Source organism: Homo sapiens, chromosome 17, assembly GCF_000001405.40.
Source record: "Homo sapiens chromosome 17, GRCh38.p14 Primary Assembly".
Lineage (NCBI taxonomy): Eukaryota > Metazoa > Chordata > Mammalia > Primates > Hominidae > Homo > Homo sapiens.
Window position 1 is genome coordinate 75,553,282 of NC_000017.11, and position 23,436 is coordinate 75,576,717.

The 23,436-nt window shown below is 57.6% G+C and overlaps 1 protein-coding gene across 32 annotated transcripts in view, besides 6 other annotated features; it reads left to right on the forward strand.

The window, feature by feature from the left end:
- The window catches only part of LLGL2 (LLGL scribble cell polarity complex component 2), a 50,208-nt gene extending 28,280 nt beyond the window's left edge, over window positions 1-21,928 (forward strand). For 9 of the 32 annotated variants that reach the window (XM_011524802.2, XM_047435975.1, XM_047435973.1 and 6 more), the window contains 24 exons: window positions 2,765-2,862; window positions 4,874-4,955; window positions 5,231-5,346; window positions 5,971-6,129; window positions 9,735-9,897; window positions 10,050-10,182; window positions 10,471-10,525; window positions 11,072-11,226; window positions 15,195-15,412; window positions 15,491-15,558; window positions 15,697-15,850; window positions 15,940-16,044; window positions 16,682-16,974; window positions 17,067-17,229; window positions 17,669-17,819; window positions 18,386-18,502; window positions 18,617-18,783; window positions 19,733-19,997; window positions 20,200-20,350; window positions 20,671-20,699; window positions 20,932-20,979; window positions 21,172-21,214; window positions 21,329-21,387; window positions 21,590-21,928. In XM_011524802.2, coding sequence (XP_011523104.1) covers window positions 2,765-2,862; window positions 4,874-4,955; window positions 5,231-5,346; window positions 5,971-6,129; window positions 9,735-9,897; window positions 10,050-10,182; window positions 10,471-10,525; window positions 11,072-11,226; window positions 15,195-15,412; window positions 15,491-15,558; window positions 15,697-15,850; window positions 15,940-16,044; window positions 16,682-16,974; window positions 17,067-17,229; window positions 17,669-17,819; window positions 18,386-18,502; window positions 18,617-18,783; window positions 19,733-19,997; window positions 20,200-20,350; window positions 20,671-20,699; window positions 20,932-20,979; window positions 21,172-21,214; window positions 21,329-21,387; window positions 21,590-21,597 — 3,000 coding nt within the window. In that variant the 3' untranslated portion in view covers window positions 21,598-21,928. The other 23 variants (XM_017024626.2, XM_047435981.1, NM_001031803.2 and 20 more) reach the window with 9 other exon arrangements.
- Window positions 3,638-4,574: an enhancer, noted in NCBI's record as "H3K27ac-H3K4me1 hESC enhancer chr17:73553000-73553936 (GRCh37/hg19 assembly coordinates)". NCBI's record gives its function as "activates a minimal SCP1, AML or CMV promoter by ChIP-STARR-seq in naive H9 embryonic stem cells {active_cell/tissue: H9 hESC(naive)}" and the evidence as "EXISTENCE:reporter gene assay evidence [ECO:0000049][PMID:30033119]".
- Window positions 4,575-5,510: an enhancer, noted in NCBI's record as "H3K27ac-H3K4me1 hESC enhancer chr17:73553937-73554872 (GRCh37/hg19 assembly coordinates)". NCBI's record gives its function as "activates a minimal SCP1, AML or CMV promoter by ChIP-STARR-seq in naive H9 embryonic stem cells {active_cell/tissue: H9 hESC(naive)}" and the evidence as "EXISTENCE:reporter gene assay evidence [ECO:0000049][PMID:30033119]".
- Window positions 8,907-9,201: a silencer, noted in NCBI's record as "tiled region #3602; HepG2 Repressive DNase matched - State 12:CtcfO, and K562 Repressive non-DNase unmatched - State 23:Low". NCBI's record gives its function as "represses a minimal TATA promoter and a strong SV40 promoter by Sharpr-MPRA in HepG2 and K562 cells {active_cell/tissue: HepG2 | K562}" and the evidence as "EXISTENCE:reporter gene assay evidence [ECO:0000049][PMID:27701403]".
- Window positions 13,608-13,757: an enhancer, noted in NCBI's record as "active region_12767". NCBI's record gives its function as "activates an Ori minimal core promoter by ATAC-STARR-seq in GM12878 lymphoblastoid cells {active_cell/tissue: GM12878}" and the evidence as "EXISTENCE:reporter gene assay evidence [ECO:0000049][PMID:35858748]".
- Window positions 17,849-17,978: an enhancer, noted in NCBI's record as "active region_12768". NCBI's record gives its function as "activates an Ori minimal core promoter by ATAC-STARR-seq in GM12878 lymphoblastoid cells {active_cell/tissue: GM12878}" and the evidence as "EXISTENCE:reporter gene assay evidence [ECO:0000049][PMID:35858748]".
- Window positions 18,089-18,258: an enhancer, noted in NCBI's record as "active region_12769". NCBI's record gives its function as "activates an Ori minimal core promoter by ATAC-STARR-seq in GM12878 lymphoblastoid cells {active_cell/tissue: GM12878}" and the evidence as "EXISTENCE:reporter gene assay evidence [ECO:0000049][PMID:35858748]".
- Window positions 21,929-23,436: the final 1,508 nt, after the last annotated feature.

The following is a 23,436-nucleotide window of genomic DNA, read 5'->3' on the forward strand; positions in this document are numbered from 1 at the left end:
GCAGGCCCTGTTCCTAGCAAAGGCCAGGCCTGAGGCACCCCCCGTCTCCCCCGACCTTTTTGTCTCCAGGCATCCCCCAAAATAGGCACTTGTTGGAGCTCTCCTCCCTGCCTGACCCCAGCATGGGATTCCTTGTGAGAGCCATTGGACTAGACTGACTGATGGGGGAGGCAGGTAGCAATTGGGTTTGCTAAGCTATCATTGCTAGATCTCATCAGGGACTTCTCCTTTTCTGCTGCTTTGAGGCCTGGCAGGGCTGCAAAGTAGGAAAGCCCAGGGCCTAAGGAGGCTGCCTCATTGTTGGGACCTTTTTCTGCAAGTCAGAGTCTCTGTGGTTGTTTTTTAAGTCTTTAAAGCAATCAGTTGACATAGCATCGCTTTGTGCTGTTCTCACCTAGCTCTGCAGGGTCACTATCCCCCGGGGTGGGAGGCGGGGGTCAGATTGGGGTAACTGATTAAGAAACTGAACTAAAAACCTTCCTGAAGATGGTTTATCACTCTAAATTTGTAGTGGGTTTATGTTCATACCTTTCTTAACCCACAATTCTATCCCTGGGACATCTGCCCCAGGAAATACTCAAGTGGTGCAGACAAAGATAGGAGTCCAAGAATGCCATCGACATGGTTGTTGGATTGCAAACCCTCTAGCAACAAAGTAAATACTCAACAATAAACCTCTGGTGAATTAGGATATCTACAGGTAAAGAATATTCTTTAGATGTTTTAAAAGTCATTTTAGGCCGGGTATGATGGCTCACACCTGTAATCCCAACACTTTGAGAGGCCAAGGCGGGCAGATCACTTGAGGTCAAGAGTTCAAGACCAGCCTGGCCAACATGGTGAAAGCCCATCTCTACTGAAAATACAAAAATTAGCTGGGCATGGTGGTGGGTGCCTGTAATCCTAGCTCCTGGGGAGACTGAGGCAGGAGAATCACTTGAACCTGGGAGGCAGAGTTTGCAGCGAGCCAAGATCGCACCATTGCACTCCAGGCTGGGTGACAAGAGCAAAACTCCGTCTCAAAAAAAAAAAAAAAAAAGCCATTTTAGGCAGCTTGCAGTGACTCACGCCTGTAATCCCAGCGCTTTGGGAGGCCGAGGCAGGAGGATCGCTTGAGTCTAGAAGGTTAAGACCAGGCTGGACAACATGACGAGTACCTGTCTCTACCAAAAATTAAAAAGTAGCCGGGTGTGGCAGGTGTGGTGGTGCATGCCTGTAGTCCCAGCTACTTGGGAGGCTGAGGTGGAAGGATCACTTGAGCCTGGGAGGCCAAGGCTACAGTGAACCGAAATCATGCCGTAGCACCCAGCCTGGGCAACAGAGTGAGACCCTCAAAAAAGAAAAATTAAAAATTTTTGTCATGCCTGTAATCCCAGCACTTTGGGAGGCCAAGATGGGCGGATCGAGACCATCCTGGCTAACACAGTGAAACCCCGTCTCTACTAAAAATACAAAAAATTAGCCGGGCGTGGTGGCGGGCGCCTGTAGTCCCAGCTACTTGGGAGGCTTAGGCAGGAGAATGGCGTGAACCTGGGAGGCGGAGCTTATAGTGAGCTGAGATCACACCACTGCACTCCAGCCTGGGCGACAGCGCAAGACTCCGTCTCAAAAAAAAAAAAAAATTTTTGGCTGGGTGCGGGTGGCTCACGCTTGTAATCCTAGCACTTTGGGAGGCTGAGGTGGACAGATCATGAGGTCAGGAGATAGAGACACGGTGAAACCTGTCTCTACTAAAAATACAAAAAATTAGCCAGGCATGGTGGTGGGCACCTGTAGTACCAGCTACTCGGAAGGCTGAGGCAGGAGAATGGCATGAACCCGGGAGGCGGAGCTTGCAGTGAGCCGAGATCGCACCACTGCACTCCAGCCTGGGCAACAGAGCGAGATTCCATCTCAAAAAAAAAAAAAATAGACCTGCAAACATTCACAAGTGCAGAAGACTCGAAGGATGTACACTTAGGTTCTAGCAAGGTTACTTCTGGTTGTGGGAGTTTGGGTAATTTTTGTTCTTTTTTTTTTTTTTTTTGAGACGGAGTCTCGCTCTGTCGCCCAGGCTGCTCTGCCTGCCGGGTTCGCACCATTCTCCTGCCTCAGCCTCAGTTTTTGTTCTTAAACATCTTTATACCTCCCAGGTTTTTCACAGTGTGTGTGTGTATTCTGTAATAAATGAAAAAAACACGTATGTGCAACGACACTCCAGGAATTCCCTTTCTGGGAAGATGGTTGGAATTTGGTGACAGTAAGAGTCTGTGAGACCCAGCTGACTGGGGCCTGGAGGGACCTGGAAGAGCCCAGAGCAGGGCAGGGCCTCCGCGGTACTCTAGGCCCCTGGGTGAGCCCGGAGCTGCGGTGCAACCAAGATTTTCTCCCGAGAGACCGGTGTCTCCATTGTTCCAAACTCCCCCTACTTTCCCCACCCCACACCCATAAGGCCCCCATGCCACTGAGGAGGGCTGGGTCCGTCACCCAGGGTGCACGTGGTGGAGGCACCGAGTCAGTTCCTGGAAAGCATTGAGAGGCTGGTATGGTGTCGGGGAAGATCAGCTCGCAGGGGTGGCCATGAGGCCAAGGGCAGAGTCACAAAGGGACAGGGGGTGGGGCCTGGTAAATATGGGTTAGGCTCCAACACTCAGGTGTCTGGGAGGAACCGGAAAGGTACCGAAGCCCTGCTTCCTGCTGGGTCGTCTGGTGCTGCAGCTGCAGCAGCCATGGTGGCGCGAAGGGGACAGGTCTGCAGGCCCACCCCACGTGCTTCTCGTTGCAGACGGTGGAGCATGGCTTCCCGCACCAGCCCAGCGCCCTCGGCTACAGCCCGTCCCTGCGCATCCTGGCCATCGGCACCCGTTCTGGAGCCATCAAGCTGTATCCTCCGTCCCCTCGCTCCCACTCGGGCAGGGCCTTGGGGTGGGTGAGATTTGGGGAGGGACATCTTTTCCTTCCTTGCCCGTGGGCTGTTGGGATAAAATGAGGGACTTTCCTGATTTCCAGTTTTGGACATGATTTTATTCCAAAATGGGGCAGGTATGGTTGATGGTGGAGCAGGCACCTGGGCATGAGTGCATCCCTGGTGGGATGCGACCCTGTCCTTTGCAGGAGGACAGTGAGGTTTGAAATGGACTGAGGAGATACAGGCTTATTTTGTCTCCTGTGTCCTTTCAGGACCCTTCATGTGGTCTGCTCCCTTTACTCAGTTTCCCCTCTCACCTATTCCTGGAGGTTTCAGGAATCCCCCAGTCCCGGGCAGGGGGTGAGGCTGCTGGGGGGCTCAGAGACCTGTTTTGCAGGGGTTGTATTGGTGGATCCAGAGGGAAGGACCTGACGCCCATGTCTCAGCCAGTGATCATTCAGTGAGTGGCTGGCTGGTGCGCCAGTAGCAAGGCCTAGGCCCTTCTGTGCCCCTGCCTCCCTCAGCTCCCCACCTCACCACCAGAAAAGCAAGTTACAGGGACCCCTCTTGTCGCTAGGGATGTTTTTAATTTAAAAAAATTTTTTTCGGCACTTTGGGAGGCTGAGGCGGGCAGATCACTTGAGGTCAGGAGTTCAAGGCCAGCCTGGTCAATGTGGTAAAACCCTGTCTCTACTAAAAATATTTTAAAAGTTATCAGGGCGTGGTGGCACATGCCTGTAATCCCAGCTACTTGGGAGGCTGAGATGGGAGAATCGTTTGAACCTGGGAGGCAGAGGTTGCAGTGAGCCAAGATTGTGCCACTGCACTCCAGCCTGGGCAACAGAGTGAGACTCTGTCTCAAAAACTTTTTTTTTTTTTTTTTTTTTTTTTGTGGAGACAGGGTCTTGTGATCTTGCCCAGCCTGGTCTTGAACTCCTGGGCTCAAGCAACTCTCTCGCCTTGGCCTCTCAAAATGCTAGGGTTACAGGCATGAGTCACTGCACTCCCAGCCTGCAGTTTTGTTTTTTAACCTATCTCGATAAGAATCAGAGGTGGACTGGCCCCAGGGCCCTATCCACAAGCAGAGATGGGGTGGCCTTGGGCCAGGAGAGCAGGGCTCGGCAGCTGTCTTCCAAATTCCACCCCCACTCCCACAGGCGGCAGAGAGTGGAGAGGGCTCTGCCTGGCAGGGACAGTCCTTCCCCGGCCTGAGGCTGGATGTTGTCCAGTTGGGTCATCTTTTATCCAGAGCACTGGTTCTGGCCGACTGGGGGCTCCCAGTGTTTTCAGAGATGAAAAACCGGATCAGGTTGGGCACCCCGCCAGTCTGATCTGTGCTCCCCTCAGGGCAGGGCCCAAGGGAGTTGAGAGATGAGGGACCACCTCCAATAGCTTGGCTGCCACCTCCAGCGGAGCCTGACCTCCCTCTTCCCCTCTGCCCGGTGTGGGGGAGGGGTATGGAGCACTCGAGTTCCAGGCTGGGCTGGTGTACACAGGGGGCCAGGGCCTTGCTGCGGGCTCAGCCTTCCCTCGGCTGGTTAATCATTGCCAGGCCACAGCCAGACTCTAGTTACCAATCCCTGGTGCCAAGACTAATGGGCCAAGGCTGTTGGTGATAGGCCCCCTGGGGTGCCGTGTGTTTTTTCACAGGTGCTACCAAGCGACAGCCAACATGTCTTTTGCAGCTCAGGATCAGGGTGGCAGCCTGACAGTTGCCAGGGTAGGGCTTCGCCTTTCTATGGAGTTGCTCCCACCGGCCTGACTGGGAAAAATCTCCCAGGGATCAGGTCACTGGCCTGGTGCCCCAGGGCCAGGGCTGCTGTGTCTCCTCCCCACCCTAGGCTCCATGCATGGGTCCTGCTGCCTCGGGGGAGGGCAGCCCCTCTCTGTGTTTGCATCATTGCACATGGGCCCCGAGGGCCTGGCACTCAAGGCAGGCAGGGGATGGTGTCCGACCTTCCAGAGCTTTCCTGAGCCTACTCCTAGCTACGGAGCCCCAGGCGTGGAGTTCATGGGGCTGCACCAGGAGAACAACGCTGTGACGCAGATCCACCTCCTGCCCGGCCAGGTGAGGGACCTGGGGTGGGACAGGAAGCCACTTCCATGCCCTCCTTGCCTTCACTGCTTCCAGCAGGGCTGGTGTGGAGAGGCTGGCATTCGGTGGCCCTGGGTTTGCTGCTGATGGAAAGACCTGGGACCCCCTCCCTTTCCACAGCTGGGGCTCATGGGCCACCCTGGGAGTGGCCAGGGGGTCTTTTAAACAACTGGGGCTGCGTGGCCCCAGTGTGTAAAGGCCTTGCCTGGGTAGCAAGACCACATGATCCCGTCGTGTGCCCTCGCCAGTGCCAGCTGGTCACCCTGCTGGATGACAACAGCCTGCACCTTTGGAGCCTGAAGGTCAAGGGCGGGGCATCGGAGCTGCAGGAGGATGAGAGCTTCACACTGCGTGGACCCCCAGGGTAAGGGCTCAATCCCCAGCCCCTTCCACTCCCAGCCCAGCCTGACCCTTGCCCTTAGCTCTGGAGTGGACTCACCCTTTGTGAGGCCTGTTGCGCCCCTGGCAGTGACTGGCATGCGTTTGGCCCGATGCATCGCCACACTCAGGTGCTCCGAGTGGAGTGGGCGGGGCTGCAGCCTGCCTCCTCCATCCACACCACGCCTCCTCCATCCGCACCCCACCTCCTCCATCCGCACCCCGCCTCCTCCATCCGCACCCCACCTCCTCCATCCACACCACGCCTCCTCCATCCGCACCCCACCTCCTCCATCCGCACCCCGCCTCCTCCATCCGCACCCCGCCTCCTCCATCCGCACCCCGCCTCCTCCATCTGCACCCCGCCTCCTCCATCCGCACCCCGTGTTATGCTGGAGGGTCCCTGGCGTCTTTCCTGCCTCCTAGCCCAGGCTCTCTGCCATCTGTCTCCTGTCTTGGCAGAAAGTGACCAATGTTTGTCCTGGCTTGAAATGTTATGACCTCATTAAAGGGCCTTATGGGCTTGTTTTCCGAGGAGTCAGGGGACCCCGTCCATGGCATCTCCCCTGCTGGGCAGTGGTCGGCTCACGGGCAGCTGTTCTTGTCACAGGGCTGCCCCCAGTGCCACACAGATCACCGTGGTCCTGCCACATTCCTCCTGCGAGCTGCTCTACCTGGGCACCGAGAGTGGCAACGTGTTTGTGGTGCAGCTGCCAGCTTTTCGTGCGCTGGAGGACCGGACCATCAGCTCGGACGCGGTGCTGCAGCGGTGAGCCCAGAGCCCAGCTGCTGTTAACTCCATCCCCTCAAGTTAGGCATGGCTTCTCCCCTTGGTCCCAGGACTCTGTCAGGAGCTGTCATTTCTCTGCTGGGAATTCCATGGGGCTATAGCAGGGGAGGCTCTTGGCTTCCTACCTGTCACCTACTGAGAACCTATTGGCCTGTCATAGGTTAGCATCATAGCACTAAAAAGGGGGCTTTGAGGGTCCCTCGTCTAAAGGCCCCAAATGACTGTGTAATGTCACCGACTGTCAGTCCAGTGTCCTTTGCACTTGCCATGGGTTTCAGAACCCCAGGGGCTCCGCAGCGGGGAAGTCGGGCCCAGACCTCCCTGTGTCACTGGGGCAGCTCCTGGTGCCACCCTTTGCGGTGGGTACTTTGCTGAGGTTCCATTTGCTCGCAAGCTCCGTGGCTAAAAAGCCTTGACCGCCACAGGCATGTGGGTCTGTTGAGATCGTTTCAGAAGCTTTGCTCCTTGTTGATGATACTACATTAGAGAGGGAGTTGGATCAGGTCCGGGTGGGAGAAGGGGACGGGGCCCAAAAAAAGAGAGGAGATAGCATCTGACAAGATCATGTTGGGGCCGGGTCGGTCATGGTGGAATGATCTGTGGTTCCAAGGGGCAGGAGGAGGCCAGGGTGCTGGGCCCCTGGCCCTGCAAGGCTTTGGACTGGGCCTGGGACACACTCCTGCAGCTGGCCAGCCCAGCTCTCCAGCCCTGGGTGGTGATGAAGCAGGGCCCGTCTGCCCAGGGCAGGGCATGACTGGGCTGGGAGGATTCCCACTTGGAGCTGTGTCCCTCTGAGTGCAGACCTCTGCCTTTCCCGTTCAGCAGGGTAGGGCTGGGGCAGTGTGTCCAAGGTCAGAGCAGAACACTTTGCAGGATGACAGGTACCACAGTGGGACACAGCCTGTGGGCAGGACGGCATGGGACCTGCGCCCCAGCAGGTGGCCACACCAGTGCCCAGCCTCACCCTGTAGTTAGCTGGCGGGAATCTAGTCGGCGGGGGGGCCCAAGTGCCCTGAGAGCCCCTCCTGCCAGTTTATTTATATTATATTATATTATATTTTATTTCATTTTTGAGATGGAGTTTCACTCTTGTTCCCCAGGCTAGAGTGCAATGGCACGATCTTGGCTCACTGCAACCTCTGCTTCCTGGGTTCAAGCTATTCTCCTGCCTCAGCCTCCCGAGTAGCTGGGATTACAGGCATGCGCTACCACACCCAGCTAATTTTGTATTTTTAGTAGAGACAGGGTTTCTCCATGGTGGTCAAACTAGTCTCGAACTCCCGACCTCAGGTGATTGACCCGCCTCAGCCTCCCAGAGTGCTGGGATTACAGGCATGAGCCACAGCGCCTGGCCCAGTTTGTTTATTTATTAAAAAAAAAAAAAAAAAAAAAAAAAAAAAACAAAGAAAAAACATTTTTTTTGAGAGAGTCTTACTCTGTCCCAGGCCGAAGTGCAGTGGCAAGATCTCAGCTCACTGCAACCTCTGCTTCCTGGGTTCAAGTGATTCTCCTGCCTCAGCCTTCCGAGTAGCTGGGATTACAGGTGCACGCCATCACACCCGGCTTATTTTTGTATTTTTAGTAGAGACGGGGTTTCACCATGTTGGCCAGGCTGGTCTTGAACTCCTGACCTCAGGTGATCCACCCACCTCGGTCTCCCAAAGTGCTGGGATTACAGGTGTGAGCCACCAGGCCCAGCCCCTTTTGGCAGTTTAAATTCTCGTCCTCTTGATGACACTTATCTAAGTTTTTAAAACGTGCAACCCTTTAGTCTCATAACTGTCTCTGAGAAGTCTCTGTCCTAAAGATATAGGATAAGAATGATCATTGTAGGGCTGTTTTTAATGGCAAAAAGTTGGAAGCCCTCTAATTGTCTAACAATTTTCATCTGTGTAAGGACATTATTTGCATTTATTAAGAATATCTAGATGGACACAGTTGCTCACACTTTGGGAGGCTGAGGTAGGAGGATTGCTTGAGGCCAGGAATTTGAGACTAGCCTGGGCAACATAGCAAGACCCTGTCTCTCCTCACAAAAAATAAAAATTAGTTGGGCAAGGCGGCACACGTCTGCAGTCTCAGCTACTTGGGAGGTGGGAGGATCACTTGAGCCCAGGAGTTGGAGGCTGCAGTGAGCCATGATCAGGTCACTACCCTCCAGCCTGGGTGACAGAATGAGATCCTGTCTCTAAAAAGATTAAAAATTAGGCCGGGCGCGGTGGCTCACGCCTGTGATCCCAGCACTTTGGGAGGCGGAGGCGGGTGGATCACCTGAGATCAGGAGTTCGAGACCAGCTTGGGCAACATGGCGAAACCCCGTCTCTACTAAAAGTATAAAAAATTAGCCTGGCATGGTTGTGGGTGCCTGTAATCCCTGATACTCGGGAGGCTGAGCAGGGAGAATTGCTTGAACCCCGGAGGTGGAGGTTGTGGTGAGCCGAGGTCACACCACTGCACTCCAGCCTGGGCAACAGAGCGAGACTCCCATCTCAAAAAAAAAAAATTAAATATTGAATATTAAAGTCCCCTTCAACTCTCACTCTTGATTCAAATTCTAATGTCAGTGAGGTCAGTGCTAGCAGTAGATGTGCCAGATATAGATAATGTGGAGAGCTTGGGTTTAGTGTGGCTTGGGTCCAGGCTGGGTCCACTTCCCACATCCTTGCTGTTGGCTGTTGGTCCTGTGCCTGCTGCCTTGTGGTTTTTTTGTTGGCTGCAACACCTCCAGCCCTCACGGCAGCATTCCAGGCCTGGAGACGGGGCAGGGGTCAAGGCTCCAGGGCCAGGCCAACTCACACAGAGTTTTGTTTTATGGGGCTAAAAAACTTCTTTATTATTAAACACTCCCTTTTGCAAAAATGCACTGAATATGAATGTACAGTTTAACAGATTCTTGTAGAGCATCCTTGCAGCCTTCCTGCCGGGCATAGAAATAGAACTTTGATGCCCTCCGGAGGTCTTATGCACCCTTCCTAGTCAAGGCTCCCTCTTGCCCCCACATTGACTTTTCCAGAAGTCACTGCCTTGCCTTGCCTTATAATTGTACCGCCTGTGTTTACATCACTGGAGGTTGTGTCCATGTCTCTGTCTTGTTCTACATGCTGCCCTTCTCCCCTTGGTGACATGTCCTAGCCATCTTTCTTTCTTTTTTTTTGGAAATGGAGTCTCACTCTGTCACCCAGGCTGGAGTGCAGTGGCACGATCTCGGCTCACTGCAACCTCCGCCTCCTGGGTTCAAGCAATTCTCCCGCCTCCGCCTCCCAAGTAGCTGGGGTTATAGCCATGTGCCACCACGCCCAGCTAATGTTTTATATTTTTAGTAGAGACAGGGTTTTGCCATGTTGGCCAGGCTGCTCTCAAACTCCTGACCTCAAGTGGCCTGCCCACCTTGGGCTCCCAAAGTGCTGGGATTACAGGCATGAGCCACCACGCTCGGCCATCCACTGCGCCCAGCCCCTAGCCATATTTCTATGCTGGCACATGGAGCAGCCACCTCTGCATAGGGAGCCCCATGGCTGTGCCATGCTGGGGGCCATTCCCCCTGGTGGACGGCATCGGAGGCTCACGGCACTCCCCTCGCCCAGGTTGCCAGAGGAGGCCCGCCACCGGCGTGTGTTCGAGATGGTGGAGGCACTGCAGGAGCACCCTCGAGACCCCAACCAGATCCTGATCGGCTACAGCCGAGGCCTCGTTGTCATCTGGGACCTACAGGGCAGCCGCGTGCTCTACCACTTCCTCAGCAGCCAGGTAGGCAGTGCCCAGGACATGGCAGGCGCCATGTTGCTCTCCCAGGGCCCCAAGTGGCACATACACACTGTGCAGAGGCATGGGGTGCAGGCGATGGGAACGCCGCCTCGGTCCAGCGTGCTGCCCTCTGTCCCTCTCCTCTTCCTCCATAGCAACTGGAGAACATCTGGTGGCAGCGGGACGGCCGCCTGCTCGTCAGCTGTCACTCTGACGGCAGCTACTGCCAGTGGCCCGTGTCCAGCGAAGCCCAGCAACCAGAGCCCCTCCGCAGCCTCGTGCCTTACGGTCAGTGTTTCACCCGCCGGGCAGGGCCCACCCCCAGTGCCTCCTGGATTCAGGTGCAGGTTGCTCAATTCTGAAGCAAACTCCAGGGCCAGAGAGGGTAAAGGCTTTGTCCAAAGCCACACAGCAGGGTTCGCCTCACCCAGTTTCTTGGGGAACTTCTCGGAGCAAGATTCCCAAGCACAGGTCTACCATGTGGATGTGGCATGAGCTAGAGGGATCTGTGCCTGTGGGGACTGACACTTGTCTGAGAGTTTGAGGATCCGTTCAAGCCGATTCCTTTCCTTTCAGGTCCCTTTCCTTGCAAAGCGATTACCAGAATCCTCTGGCTGACCACTAGGCAGGGGTAGGTATCCATGCTGGTCCTCTTTCCTCTCCAGAGCCTTCCTGGAGGGCTAGAAAGGTCACTTAGGCCTCTGCCTGGGAAGTTGGTGCCAGTGAACACTCTCAGGTCCCGTGTTGGGGTCTTGGACACCAGGGAGGGGAGACAGGGTAGACGCTATTCACGTCTCTCAGCGGCCCAATTCCTGCCAAGTTCATTCTTGCTCCTTTCTTCCACCTTCCCAGAGAGACGGTACTGAGCAGCAGGTCTTAAACTCCTTTAGTTGGCAGCCCTGTTTCTTCAGACAAAATCACTCTGGGTGATGTTCAAACAGAATTGGTGGGGGCACCCAGCATGAGGCAGGAGTGGCTGCTGAGACTCAGAGCCCCCAGCCTGGATGCCCTCACCTTACCTCCAAGTCCTCCTGGGCTGTAGCAGTTGGAAGGAGATGGGGTCCAGTCTCCCCTGCTCCTGGGGACCTTGACTGAGTGGTGACTTTGATTGCCGGCCTGTGGCTGTTGAGGCTGTGCCAGGAGCCCCAGCCCACTGCCGCTCCTCTGTGCCTGCCAGGTTGCCCTTCACCATCTTCCAGGGTGGCATGCCACGGGCCAGCTACGGGGACCGCCACTGCATCTCAGTGATCCACGATGGCCAGCAGACGGCCTTCGACTTCACCTCCCGTGTCATCGGCTTCACTGTCCTCACAGAGGCAGACCCTGCAGCCAGTAGGAGAGCTTCGGGAGTGGGTGCCCAGGGTTAGGTGTGGGAGGCATGGGGCAGGACCATCAGTAAAGACAGGGCCAGGTGCAGTGGCTCCTGCCTGTAACCCCAGTGCTGTGGGAGGCCAAGGTGGTAGGATCGCTTGAACCCAGGAGTTCAAGTCCAGCCTGGACAACGTAGGGAGACCCTTGTCTCTACAAAAAATAAAAAAATTAGCCAGGTGTTGTGGCACGTACCTGTAGTCCTAGCTACTCAGGAGGCTGAGGTGGGAGGATCACTTGAGCCTGGGAGGTGGAGGTTGCAGCGAACCAGGATCATGCTACTGTACTCAGCCTGGGTGACATAGCCAGACTGTGTCTCAAAAAAAAAAAAAAAAAGGGCTCTGCACAGATGTTCCTAAGCCTACCACTGTCCTGAGTCCCTTAGCCTCACTGCACCCCAAGGTGCAGTGTCATCAAGCCCTACAGCTCCTTTCTCTGCCTCCCTGCCACCCTCCCCAGCTAGAGACCCAGCCCAGCCACACCTCCTGTCTGCCCCGGGCTCTCTGCCCTTTCCAGACTGTAATGGGACTTAGCCCACAGGGGGCTGATCTGTACTGTTGGATTTAACACCCACCCCGCTGAGGCAAGAGGGTCCTGGCTTAGAGATGGCAAAGCCCGCCTTCTGGGCAGGGCAGAAGGTGGCTGTGCAGCCTCCTGGAGCTCCAGCAGGACCGGCAGAGCCCTGAGTCAGCCTCGTAAATTGTGTGACAGGCAAGACCAGAAAGGGCTGATGTTGAAACCTGGAGAGGAGCCCTGCAGGAGCTCTCCAGGAGGGAGGGCCCTCTCCTAATGATGCTGGCCTGAAAGGGCCTGAGGCCGAAAGGTGAGGGGGCGGGGCTGTTCAGGACACCTGGTCTGTGTACTCACGGCCTCTATCTACCCTGTTCAGGGGAACCCCAAACCTGCTTTTCTTTCTTTCTCAGCCTCTCCTCCCTCCTCACACCCTGGATGCTGAGAGCAGGGCCCAGCTCTGCTCTTTCCACAACATTTGGGCCATGTTGGCACAGAGCGGGGGCCTCTTGGGCTATGGTGGCCACACTCCCCGGGCTAACTGAGTTACCTGATTCCCAGCGGAAAGGTCAGGAAGGGAGGGAAGAAACTTGCTGAGCTACAAATTCGAGACTGCTGGGGCTTTCTAGGACAGGCCACCTTCCTGCAATTGTCCCTCTGTGTCCCCAACTCCCCGCAGTCCCGCAGGCCAGGAGGTGGGTGCCTGATGAGCGGTGCTTCCCTCAGATGATATGTGGGCACCCTGAAGCTCTCACGTAATGGTTCTGCTGTGCCGGGTTGTGACCCAGCTGTCCTTGGTAGGCTCTCCTGTTTAATGAGCAACTGCTATATGCCAGGCCCTGTTCTAGAAACAGATGAGGCCCCTGTTCCCATGGAACTTAGATCTGAGTATGTGGACAGAGTGAGTAGGTTGCCAGATAATGTCAGAGGTAAGAAAAAAGCCAGGCAGAGGACAGCAGTGCTGGTTTAGACAAGGGTTGGCAAGGCCTCCCTGATAAGGGGACGTATTTGCGCAGACACGGAAGCAGTCTGATGGAAGGCTTGCCCTGTAGGGACCTGGGGTGCAGACTGAGCTGGGAGGGCTCTTGGCTTGCTCCAATGAGGTAGGGGCGAAGAGAGGGCAGAATGGCCCCCGTGCTGGTCCAGATGTGGCCAGCGCCAGATCGTATAGAGCCGTGGAGGCACGGTAAGGACTTGGGGTTTGAGGGAGATGAGGGCCCTGAGCAGGGGTGCCATGATCTAGCCTCTGCTCCAGAAGGATCTGTCTGGCTGCCATGTGGGGGACACGGAGTGGAGCAAAGACGGGAGCCCAGTGAGAGTCGAGGGAGAGGTGACCTCAGCTTGGGCTGCGGTGCAGGCCATGGGACTGGCAGGAGGTGGCTGGGGTTACGCTGTCTTTTCTAACATTCAGCATTGGCTCAGGGGCCAGGTCAGGGCTCACAGACTGTTGCTATAAAGGGCTGGGTGGCTTTCTTCCCCACAGCTACTCAGCCTAATGCCATTGCAGAGCACATGTAGCCATGGACAACACAAGGGGCGTATCCGTGTTCCAGGACAGCCATATTGACAGGAATAGGCAGGAGGCCAGATTTGGTCCTCAGGCTGTAATTTCTTGGCCCCTTGTCTAGGGAGAGGTAAACGAGGGGAGGAGAGATCAGTCAAGGATGACGTGAGGGTTTGCTGGGAGCACCAGGAATCCTGGAGAAGGTAGTGGCAAGAGGGTGCAGCAAGCTCAGCTGGGCGGGGATCAAGTCTGAGGACTTAATGTCTCCTCTGATCTCCAGACCCATAAGGGAGATGCTGAGTAGACAACTGGGGCTTATGGGTCTGGAGTTCAGAGGAGAGATCGGGAAGGTGTCCATTTGGAGTCATCCACGCAGAGATGTGTGAAGGCTGCTCAATGATTTTGAGGTTTAAAGAAAAAAAGAGATGTGAAACCAGGGGCCCTGATGAGGCTGCCCAGGTGGTAAGGAAGACAGAAGAGAAGCCATGGGACAGCTGAGCCCGGGCACCCTCAAGCCTTGGAGGCATGAAGTTTGGTGGGGATCTGGCAAAGAACACCTGGGAGCAGCCAGCGGGCAGCAGACCCCAGAGTAGCAGGGAAGACAAGCACTTCAAAGAGGCAGCGTCAGCCAGGGGCAGTGGCTCAGCTGTAATCCTAGCACTTTGGGAGGCCAAGGATGGCAGATCACCTGAGGTTAGGGGTTCGAGACTAGCCTGGCCAACATGGTGAAACCCTGTCTCTACTAAAAATAAAAAATTAGCCAGGCATTGGTGGTATGTGCCTGTAATCCCAGCTACTCGAGAGGCTGAGGCAGGAGAATCTCTTGAACCCGGGAGGCAGAGGTTGCAGTGAGCCGAGATCATGCCATTGCACTCCAGCCTGGGCAACAAGAGCGAAACTCCGTCTCAAAAAATAAAAAAGAAAAACAAAAATTAGCCAGGCGTGGTGGTGAGTGCCTGTAATCCCAGCTACTTGGGAAGCTGAGGCAGGAGAATCGCTTGAACCCGGGAGGCGGAGGTTGCAGTGAGCTGAGATCGCACCACTACACTCCAGCCTGGGTGACAGAGCAAGACTCCATCTCAAAAAAAAAAGAGAAAAAAAAGACTGGGCACAGTGGCTCATGCCTGTAATCCCAGCATTTTGGGAGGCCAAGGTGGGAAGATCACTTGAGCCCAGGAGTTCAACACCAGCCTGAGCAACATGGCGAAACCCTGTCTCTACCAAAAATACAAAAGTTAGCTGGGTATCGTGGCTCACACCTGTAATCCCAGCTACTTGGGAGCCTGAGGCAGGAGGATCGCTTGAACCTGGAGGTGGAGGTTGCAATGAGCCGAGATCACACCACTGTACTCCAGCCTGGGCGACAGAGTGTGAAACCCTGTCTCGAGAAAAGAAAAAAAAAAAAAAAGACAAATGGTTTAATCATCCAGCGCACATTTATTGAGCACTAGCTGGGTCCAGGCCTGAGTGAGGTGATGTGATTGTGTGCAGTAAAGAAAATGCCACCCCTAGCAACTGGTGTGCTGAAGACCACGCGTGCTGCTGCCTGTGGGGAGAGGCTTGACAGGTGCATCTGAGCAGGGAGAGCAGGCCCCATGGAGGAGAAACCAGGGAAGAGGGTTGGCAGGCACAGCTGCATGCCTCTGGGGTGCCTATCCTGGTTGGGACCCTGCCTTCCAGCCAGGTGTATCCCCCCAGGAGCCCTGTGCCAGGGAGCTCTCAGCAGCCTTGCATGCAGAGCCAGGGCTACTGCCCACACCTGCTGCCCTCCTGGAGATGGAAAGGCTTTGCTCAAGCAGCCAAGAACAGGGCTTTCTGGATCTGCAGATGCCCTGGCTCCAACCCTGGAGCTTCTGATTCCACAGAGCTGGGCTGCTTCCTCCTGGCCCCGGCCCCTGACCCTTGCCCTGTACCCCAGCCTTTGACGACCCCTATGCCCTGGTGGTGCTGGCTGAGGAGGAGCTGGTGGTGATTGACCTGCAGACAGCAGGCTGGCCACCGGTCCAGCTGCCCTACCTGGCTTCTCTGCACTGTTCCGCCATCACCTGCTCTCACCACGTCTCCAACATCCCGCTGAAGCTGTGGGAGCGGATCATTGCCGCCGGCAGCCGGCAGAACGCACACTTCTCCACCATGGTAGGTCTGGCCCTGGCCCCAGCCCCAGCCCCACCGCAAGCCAAACTCTCCCATGGACTTCTTGGTCTCTTTTTCTAGGAGTGGCCAATTGATGGTGGCACCAGCCTGACCCCAGCCCCACCCCAGAGGGACCTGCTGCTCACAGGGTAGGGTACTTTGATGCTACCCCACCTCTTCCCAGTAGGATATGTGGGGTGGGAGCAGAGCCCTGAGGTGGACGAGCCAGCCCCTGGGCATCCCGGCTGGCATCCCTCTCACGCCTGGCAGGTGGGTTCTGCCCACAGGCACGAGGACGGCACGGTGCGGTTCTGGGATGCCTCGGGTGTCTGCCTGCGGCTGCTCTACAAACTCAGCACTGTGCGCGTGTTCCTCACCGACACGGACCCCAACGAGAACTTCAGTGCCCAGGGCGAGGACGAGTGGCCCCCACTCCGCAAGGTGAGGCCAGGAGCCTGGGACCCAGGAAGGGCAGAGGCCAGCTGGGTCCTGTCCCCGTGGCTGCTCACAGGGCCCCTCCCCTTCTCCAGGTGGGCTCCTTTGACCCCTACAGTGATGACCCCCGGCTGGGCATCCAGAAGATCTTCCTCTGCAAGTACAGCGGCTACCTGGCTGTGGCAGGCACGGCAGGGCAGGTAGCAGGCTGGGCTGGGGAGGGGGAGCTGGGGAGGAGTGGTCGATGACTGGGGACAGCAGGGACAGGAGCCAACCACCTGCCTAACGCACATTCTGTGTCCTTTGCTTTTCCGGTGGATGGAGGTGGCTTGATCCCCTTGGCGGGAGGTCCCTGGGATGGTTGTTTCTTCTCCAGAAATCGGAATTAAGGGCTGGGCCGGGCACGGTGGCTCATGCCTGTAATCCCAGCACTTTGGGAGACCAAGGCAGGCGGATCACCTGAGGTCAGGAGTTCGAGACCAGCCTGGCCAACATGGTGAAACCCCATCTCTACTAAAAATATAAAAATTAGCCAGGCATTTGTGGCTCGTGCCTGTAATCCCAGCTACTGGAAGGCCGAGACAAGAGAATCACTTGAACCTGGGAGGCAGAGGTTGCAGTGAGCCGAGATTGTGCCACTGCGCTCCAGCCTGGGCAACAGAGCAAGACTTGTCTCAAAAAAAAAAAAAAAAAATGCAGGAGAGCTGGGGTTGGACAGAGGCCTTTGTCCTTCCTTGAGCCTTGGGCCCAGCTCCTTTGCTGTCCCCACTAGTAGCATCCTGCGGCCCTGCCGTCCCTTTGCTGAGGGCTTGCTGAGCCACCTGCCACCCTGCGCAGGTGCTGGTACTGGAACTGAATGACGAGGCAGCGGAGCAGGCTGTGGAGCAGGTGGAGGCCGACCTGCTGCAGGACCAAGAGGGCTACCGCTGGAAGGGGCACGAGCGCCTGGCAGCCCGCTCAGGGCCCGTGCGCTTTGAGCCTGGCTTTCAGCCCTTCGTGTTGGTGCAGTGTCAGCCCCCGGCTGTGGTCACCTCCTTGGCCCTGCACTCTGAGTGGCGGCTCGTGGCCTTCGGCACCAGCCATGGCTTTGGCCTCTTTGACCACCAGCAGCGGCGGCAGGTCTTTGTTAAGTGAGCAGGGGCGGCTGGGTCCCGGGGCTGGGAGTGGGGCCCGCGAGGACTCCCAGGACCTAGCAGCACTGACAGCCTGCCATCCCCCCAAGGTGCACACTGCACCCCAGTGACCAGCTGGCCTTGGAGGGCCCACTCTCCCGCGTCAAGTCCCTCAAGAAGTCCTTGCGTCAGTCATTCCGCCGGATGCGTCGGAGCCGGGTGTCCAGCCGGAAGCGGCACCCGGCTGGCCCCCCAGGAGAGGTGAGGCCTGAGGTGAGGCTGCGGCCGGCCACGCACCCAGGTTCGGCTCAGAGCAGCCAGCAGGGGGGCCACACGGCCCCTGCTCCCCAGGCTTGCTAGGCTACAAACAAGATTCAGGGTCCAGGTCGCATTGTGTGACCTCAGACAGGTCACGCTGCTTCTCTCTGCCTCAGCTTCCTGAGCAGAAAGGCAGTAACTGTAATGCTTATCCTAGAAGTAATCCCCAGTAAACGTTAGTGATTTCCTTTTTCTCTCTACAACATGCTGGGGGCCCAGGCAGGCTCCCCCAAGGGCACCTCCCTCTTGGACAAGGGTCCCTCTAGACGCAGGCCTGGCAGGTGGCTGGCATGGCTGTGGCCTGCCTTCCGATGCAAGGATCAGCACTGAGCGAAGCACTGTTCCTGGGGAGGGGAGTCCAGAGCTGACCCTTAGGCTGGCCCACCCCTTGCAGGCACAGGAGGGGAGTGCCAAGGCTGAGCGGCCAGGCCTCCAGAACATGGAGCTGGCGCCTGTGCAGCGCAAGATCGAGGCTCGCTCGGCAGAGGACTCCTTCACAGGCTTCGTCCGGACCCTGTACTTTGCTGACACCTACCTGAAGGACAGTGAGTGGCCAGCCTGGGGTTGGGGGGCAGGGGGTAGTGGGCAGCAGACACCCCCTGACCTGGGGGCATGCCGGGGGCTGCTGCCTGCCTGGCTGGTAGGAGCTAAGAGGTTTCCCCTTGTGAGCAGGGGCAGACTGCAGCCCCTGCCTGCTTACTCCCCTCCCCTGCCTCAGCCTCTGAGTCAGCTTCCCTTGGCTTTATATCCAGGCCGTAGCACCCTTTAGAAGCATGGCCTCAGACCCATCACTTAGCCTTTCAGGGCCTCAGCTTGCTTCTCTGTAAATGAGGAAGTGACAGCTTCCTCCTAGAGCAGCTGTGACGATCGGGGACAGCAGAGCCTGCTGGTCTCCAGATGACGTGTCTCTCCCTGGCTGGTTCTCCCCTGCTGTATCACAGCAAGGGCTGAGCTGACCTGGGATTGGGGTCTTCTATGTTGGGGCCTGTGTGGTTGTCAGAGAGCCTTCCAGCCTCTCCCAGGAGGGAAAACCTGGGAGTAAACCCTGGTTGCCCAGCTCCACCCGACTCCCACGCTAAGGGTCAGACACCCAAACATGGCTTCTCGGCAGGCTCCCGGCACTGCCCCTCGCTGTGGGCTGGCACCAATGGGGGCACCATCTATGCCTTCTCCCTGCGTGTGCCTCCCGCCGAGCGGAGAATGGATGAGCCTGTGCGGGCAGAGCAGGGTGAGTGCTGGGCAGGGAGAGCAGAGGGTGCTCGGGCTGCCTGGGCTGGGTCCAGGGAGTGGCTCCAGCCCTGCCACCCCCTCACCAGCCCCAACACCCACCTCCTCCCCCTAGCCAAGGAGATCCAGCTGATGCACCGGGCGCCGGTGGTGGGCATCCTGGTGCTCGACGGACACAGCGTACCCCTTCCCGAGCCCCTCGAAGTGGCCCATGATCTGTCGAAGAGCCCTGACATGCAGGGAAGCCACCAGCTGCTCGTCGTATCAGAGGAGCAGTTCAAGGTGCCACACGGGCAGCGGCGGGTCTCCCTGGGACTCCCCGGGACATCCAGGAGGCTCGGACCTTGGGCAAAAATGATGGCTGGGACTCAGTCTTGTTTGCAGTTGGTGTCTGAGGGGCTGCAGAAGTACAGGAAATAAGTGAGGGGGGAGTCTCGTGTGAGGACACTGAGGCAGGACAGGGGGCCAGGCGCGGTGACTCATGCCTGTAATGCCAGCACTTTGGGAGGCCAGATCACAAGGGCAGGAGTTCGAGATCAGCCTGGCCAATATGGTGAAACCCTGACTACTAAAAATACAAAAAAAAATAGCCCGGCATGGGCCAGGCGCGGTGGCTCATGCCTGTAATCCCAGCACTTTGGGAGGCCGAGGCGGGCAGATCACAAGGTCAGGAGATCGAGACCATCCTGGCTAACACGGTGAAACCCCGTCTCTACAAACAAATGCAAAAAAATTAGTTAGGCGTGGTGGCGGGCACCTGTAGTCCCAGCTACTCAGGAGGCTGAGGCAGGAGAATGGCGTGAACCCAGGAGGCGGAGCTTGCAGTGAGCCGAGATTGTGCCACTGCCCTCCAGCCTGGGCGACAGAGCGAGATTCCGTCTCAAAAAAAAAAAAAAAAACCAGCATGGTGGTGGACGCCTGTAATCCCAGCTCTACTCGGGAGGCTGAGGCAGAAGAATTGCCTGAGGCGGAGGTTGCAGTGAGCCGAGATCACACCACTGTACTCCAGCCTGGGCGACAGAGCAAGACTCCATCTCGGAGGAAAAAAAAAAAAATCCAGATAGGGAAGTCGGTGACCTCGGCATCCTCCCAGGCCATGTCTGTGCATCTGAGAGCCAAGGGTTTGTCAGGACACCGGGAGGCATGTGGGGAGGGGAGGGCCCAGCAGCAGCAGCACAGGGCAGGAGAACTGGTTTGGCCATGGGCATGAACAACCACCCCACGCCCCCAGGTGTTCACGCTGCCCAAGGTGAGTGCCAAGCTGAAGTTGAAGCTGACGGCCCTGGAGGGCTCAAGAGTGCGGCGGGTCAGCGTGGCCCACTTCGGCAGTCGTCGAGCCGAGGACTACGGGGAGCACCACCTGGCAGTCCTTACCAACCTGGGCGACATCCAGGTGGTCTCGCTGCCCCTGCTCAAGCCCCAGGTGCGCTACAGCTGCATCCGCCGGGAGGACGTCAGTGGCATCGCCTCCTGCGTCTTCACCAAATATGGCCAAGGTGTTTGAGCCGGGCTGGGTGGGTGTCGGGGCCCCGGGCACTGCACGGACGGGAAGGGTGGCCAGGGGTGTTGTGGCCACGGCCAGACTGGATGGGCCTTAAGCGGAGAACTGCGAGGGAGCACTAGCCCCTACTCCCCCAGGTGGGGAGGCAGCCTTGGCAGCCGCCAGGCCAGGCCGCTAGCATTGCCCCCACTCCCCAGGCTTCTACCTGATCTCACCCTCGGAGTTTGAGCGCTTCTCTCTCTCCACCAAGTGGCTGGTGGAGCCCCGGTGTCTGGTGGATTCAGCAGAAACCAAGAACCACCGCCCTGGTAACGGTGCGGGCCCCAAGAAGGCCCCGAGCCGAGCCAGGTGAGTGAAAGGGCCAGAGGCCTCTCCCGCCCCTCCCGCCCCTCCCTGCCCTCTCTGAGATACCGAGGCTCCCACTGCTGCCTGGCTGGAGGCACCTCCCCACGAGCTCAGCCCACCCTCCCAGGCTCCGGCTCTCCTTGCCTCTTTGCGTGCCCCTTGCCCCTGTGCAAGCTGGCAGTCCAGGGCAGGACTCAGTTTACCTCCCAGGCTCTCCGGCTCAGGACAGGCTGCGCCATTGACTTGTTCTTCATGGGACCAGGGCTCTCAGAGCCGGGCAGGGAGCCCGGGGGCCCTGGTCCTCACTGTCTCTTCCCCCACAGGAACTCAGGGACTCAGAGTGATGGCGAGGGTAAGACAGGCCTCCTGGGCTCATGCACACCTGGGCCACACCCGGCCCAGACCTGGGGCTGGACGGGAGGGAAGGGTCCCGAGTGAGCAGGTAGTGTTTGGGCTGGGAATAGAGACGGCATTCCTTCCAGCCCTGGGCCCTGGGCTTCCACATCCTGACCTCAGTAAGGAGAGAGAGAGCCAGGCCGAGGAGGGCCCAGGCGGGGCGCCCTGACCCGGCCTCTACCTTCCAGAGAAGCAGCCCGGCCTGGTGATGGAGCGCGCTCTGCTCAGTGATGAGAGTGAGTTGGGTGGGAGAGGGTGGGGCTGGCAGGAGGGGTGGGGAAGGGGGGTCAGGGTCAAGGGAGGCTGGGCAGGCCACTGCCCTGAGGCGGGGTACAGATCCATGGGCACCCACGGAGAAAGGGGGTGGAAGGGCTGTGGCTAGCCGCCCCAAGGGCCTCAGTGGGCCTCTGTTCCCACCCGGCCTGCAGGAGTCCTGAAGGAAATCCAGAGCACACTGGAGGGAGACCGCGGGTGAGGCACCGCCCAGGCCAGCTGGGGTGGGCCCGAGGCTCTGCCAGAGGGCTCAGGGGAGCGCTGAGAGTGGAGGTCCCTGAGGCCATGACTCCCCTGTCTTTGCCTGTGCAGGAGCGGCAACTGGCGTTCACATCGAGCCGCCGTGGGGTGCAGCCTCAGCAATGGCGGAGGTGGGGGCTCTGGGCTTGAGTGCAGCTGCCAACCGTGCTGGGAAGGGCTGGGAGGAAGAGCCCCGGCCCCACTCCCCTGGGTCCCACGGGGCTGACACGTGCCCTGATGACCAGGAAAGCACCATGTCTGGGCTCAGCGTGGGCGGCTGGGGCACCCCGTCCTGCCCAGGGTGATCTTGAGCTGTCCCTCTGTGTCCTTCAGCAGAGTGAGTGGCTGAGCGTCCAGGCTGCGCGATGAGCACACACTACTACTGATGGCCTTTCGGGGGTCCCTGCCCCAACCGGAGAGGCCGGTGCACAGGGCCCCGCCAGGGGCTGGGGGCATCCCGGCTTCCACAATGCAGCTGCTCTGGGCCTCGGGAGAGGAGAGACCCCAGTCCCCTGGGCTGCCCTTCCCGGGCCTCGTCTGTCTGGGTCCTTTGGTCAATGTTGCACAGTTTTTATTGCTCCCATCCCTTTTTGTAGTGGGCTGGGTTTTAAGTTATAAATGTTAACTGCCTCTGGGTGAAAAAGTTTTTAATAAACACCTATTACCTCTTGACTGGTCCACTACTTTAATATTTTAATTGTGTAGAAATTTTCCATGTGAATGGAAAGTGGGAGCCGGTACCCTGCCTGTCCCCCGAGGCTCCAGCCCTGGCCTGGGCCGGTGTCAGGAGAATCCACTTGGGGAGCCGTGTGAATCAAACTGCTTCGTTTTGTCTGAGCCCGGCGGTGCCTTCCCTCTGTGGGAACACATGGCAAGCACGAACCATCTTGAGTCTGCCTGACTTTTTCCCTGGGTCCTGGCCGCCCCTGGCTGGCCTTTCCCTACTGTCAGAAGAAGGACACCCACAATATCTCAGACCTGATGGCTTCCTCCAGACACCAGGGAGGACTGTGGGGTGCTGCTGAAGCGGGGCTGGTACCCAAGGAGAAAGGCCTTCCCCAGGGGAGGGGCTGGGTTATTTAGATTGGACATGGGCTGGATCTTTATTGACTCGTCTTCGTTGAGCACCTACTGTATGGCCAGTGCGTGGGGTTCTCCGGTGTCTGAGACAACTGTGGTTCCTGCCACAGTTGACACTGGTGAGAAATGCACCTGGGGGGTGACCTGAGAGAGAACCAGGAATTGCCAGAGAGTGTGGTAAGCAAGCAGATTGTTCCAGACAGAGGACAAGAGGGCTCACCGCCACTCCAGGAACTCGCTTGCCGTGGGAGGCAGTGGAGAGCGGAAGGTGGCTGGCAGGCAGGGCCGAAAGTGAGGCCAGACTAGGGAGGCCCAGTGAGGGCCAGGTGTGACAGGCGCCTGCTCTGCGTGAGCGAGGAAAGGCCCATCCAGAGGAGCTGGGTACAGGTGTTCCATCTGGCCATGTCCACCTCGAGATGGCCACTTGACCGTCCCTTGTTTCCCCAGGGGAGGGTGCAGAAAGACTTCTGAGATGAGCACCTCGAGAACTATGAGGAATGTAGGGGAGCAGTTCCCCAAAGGGAGAGGAACACCATGCTAGAAGAAGCAGGGAAGGGATGATGCCTGGCAGAGACCAGCCACAGGGGTGGGGGATACCTGGTGAGACACCTGTATCAGTCCCTTCCCATACTGCCATAAAGAACATATGCCATAAAGGTGGCTGGGCGCAGTGGCTCACGCCTGTAATCCCAACACTTTGGGAGGCTGAGGTGGGGCAGATTACTTGAAGTCAGGAGTTCAAAACGAGCCTGGTCAACATGGTGAAACCCTGTCTCTACTAAAAATGCAAAAATTAGCTGGGCGTGGTGGCGCGCGCCTGTAGTCCCAGCACTTTGGGAGGCCAAGGCAGACAGATCACTGGAGGTCAGGAGTTCGAGACCAGCCTGGCCAACATGGTCAAACCCTGTTTCTTCTAAAAATACAAAAATTAGCCGGGCGTGGTGGCGGGCATCTGTAACCCCAGCTACTCAGGAGGCTGAGGTGGGAGAATCACAAACCTGGGAGGCAGAGGTTGCAGTGAGCCAAGATCGCACCACTGCACTCCAGACCGGGCAACAGAACGGGACTCCATCTCAAAAAAAAAAAAGATAATGGTGATG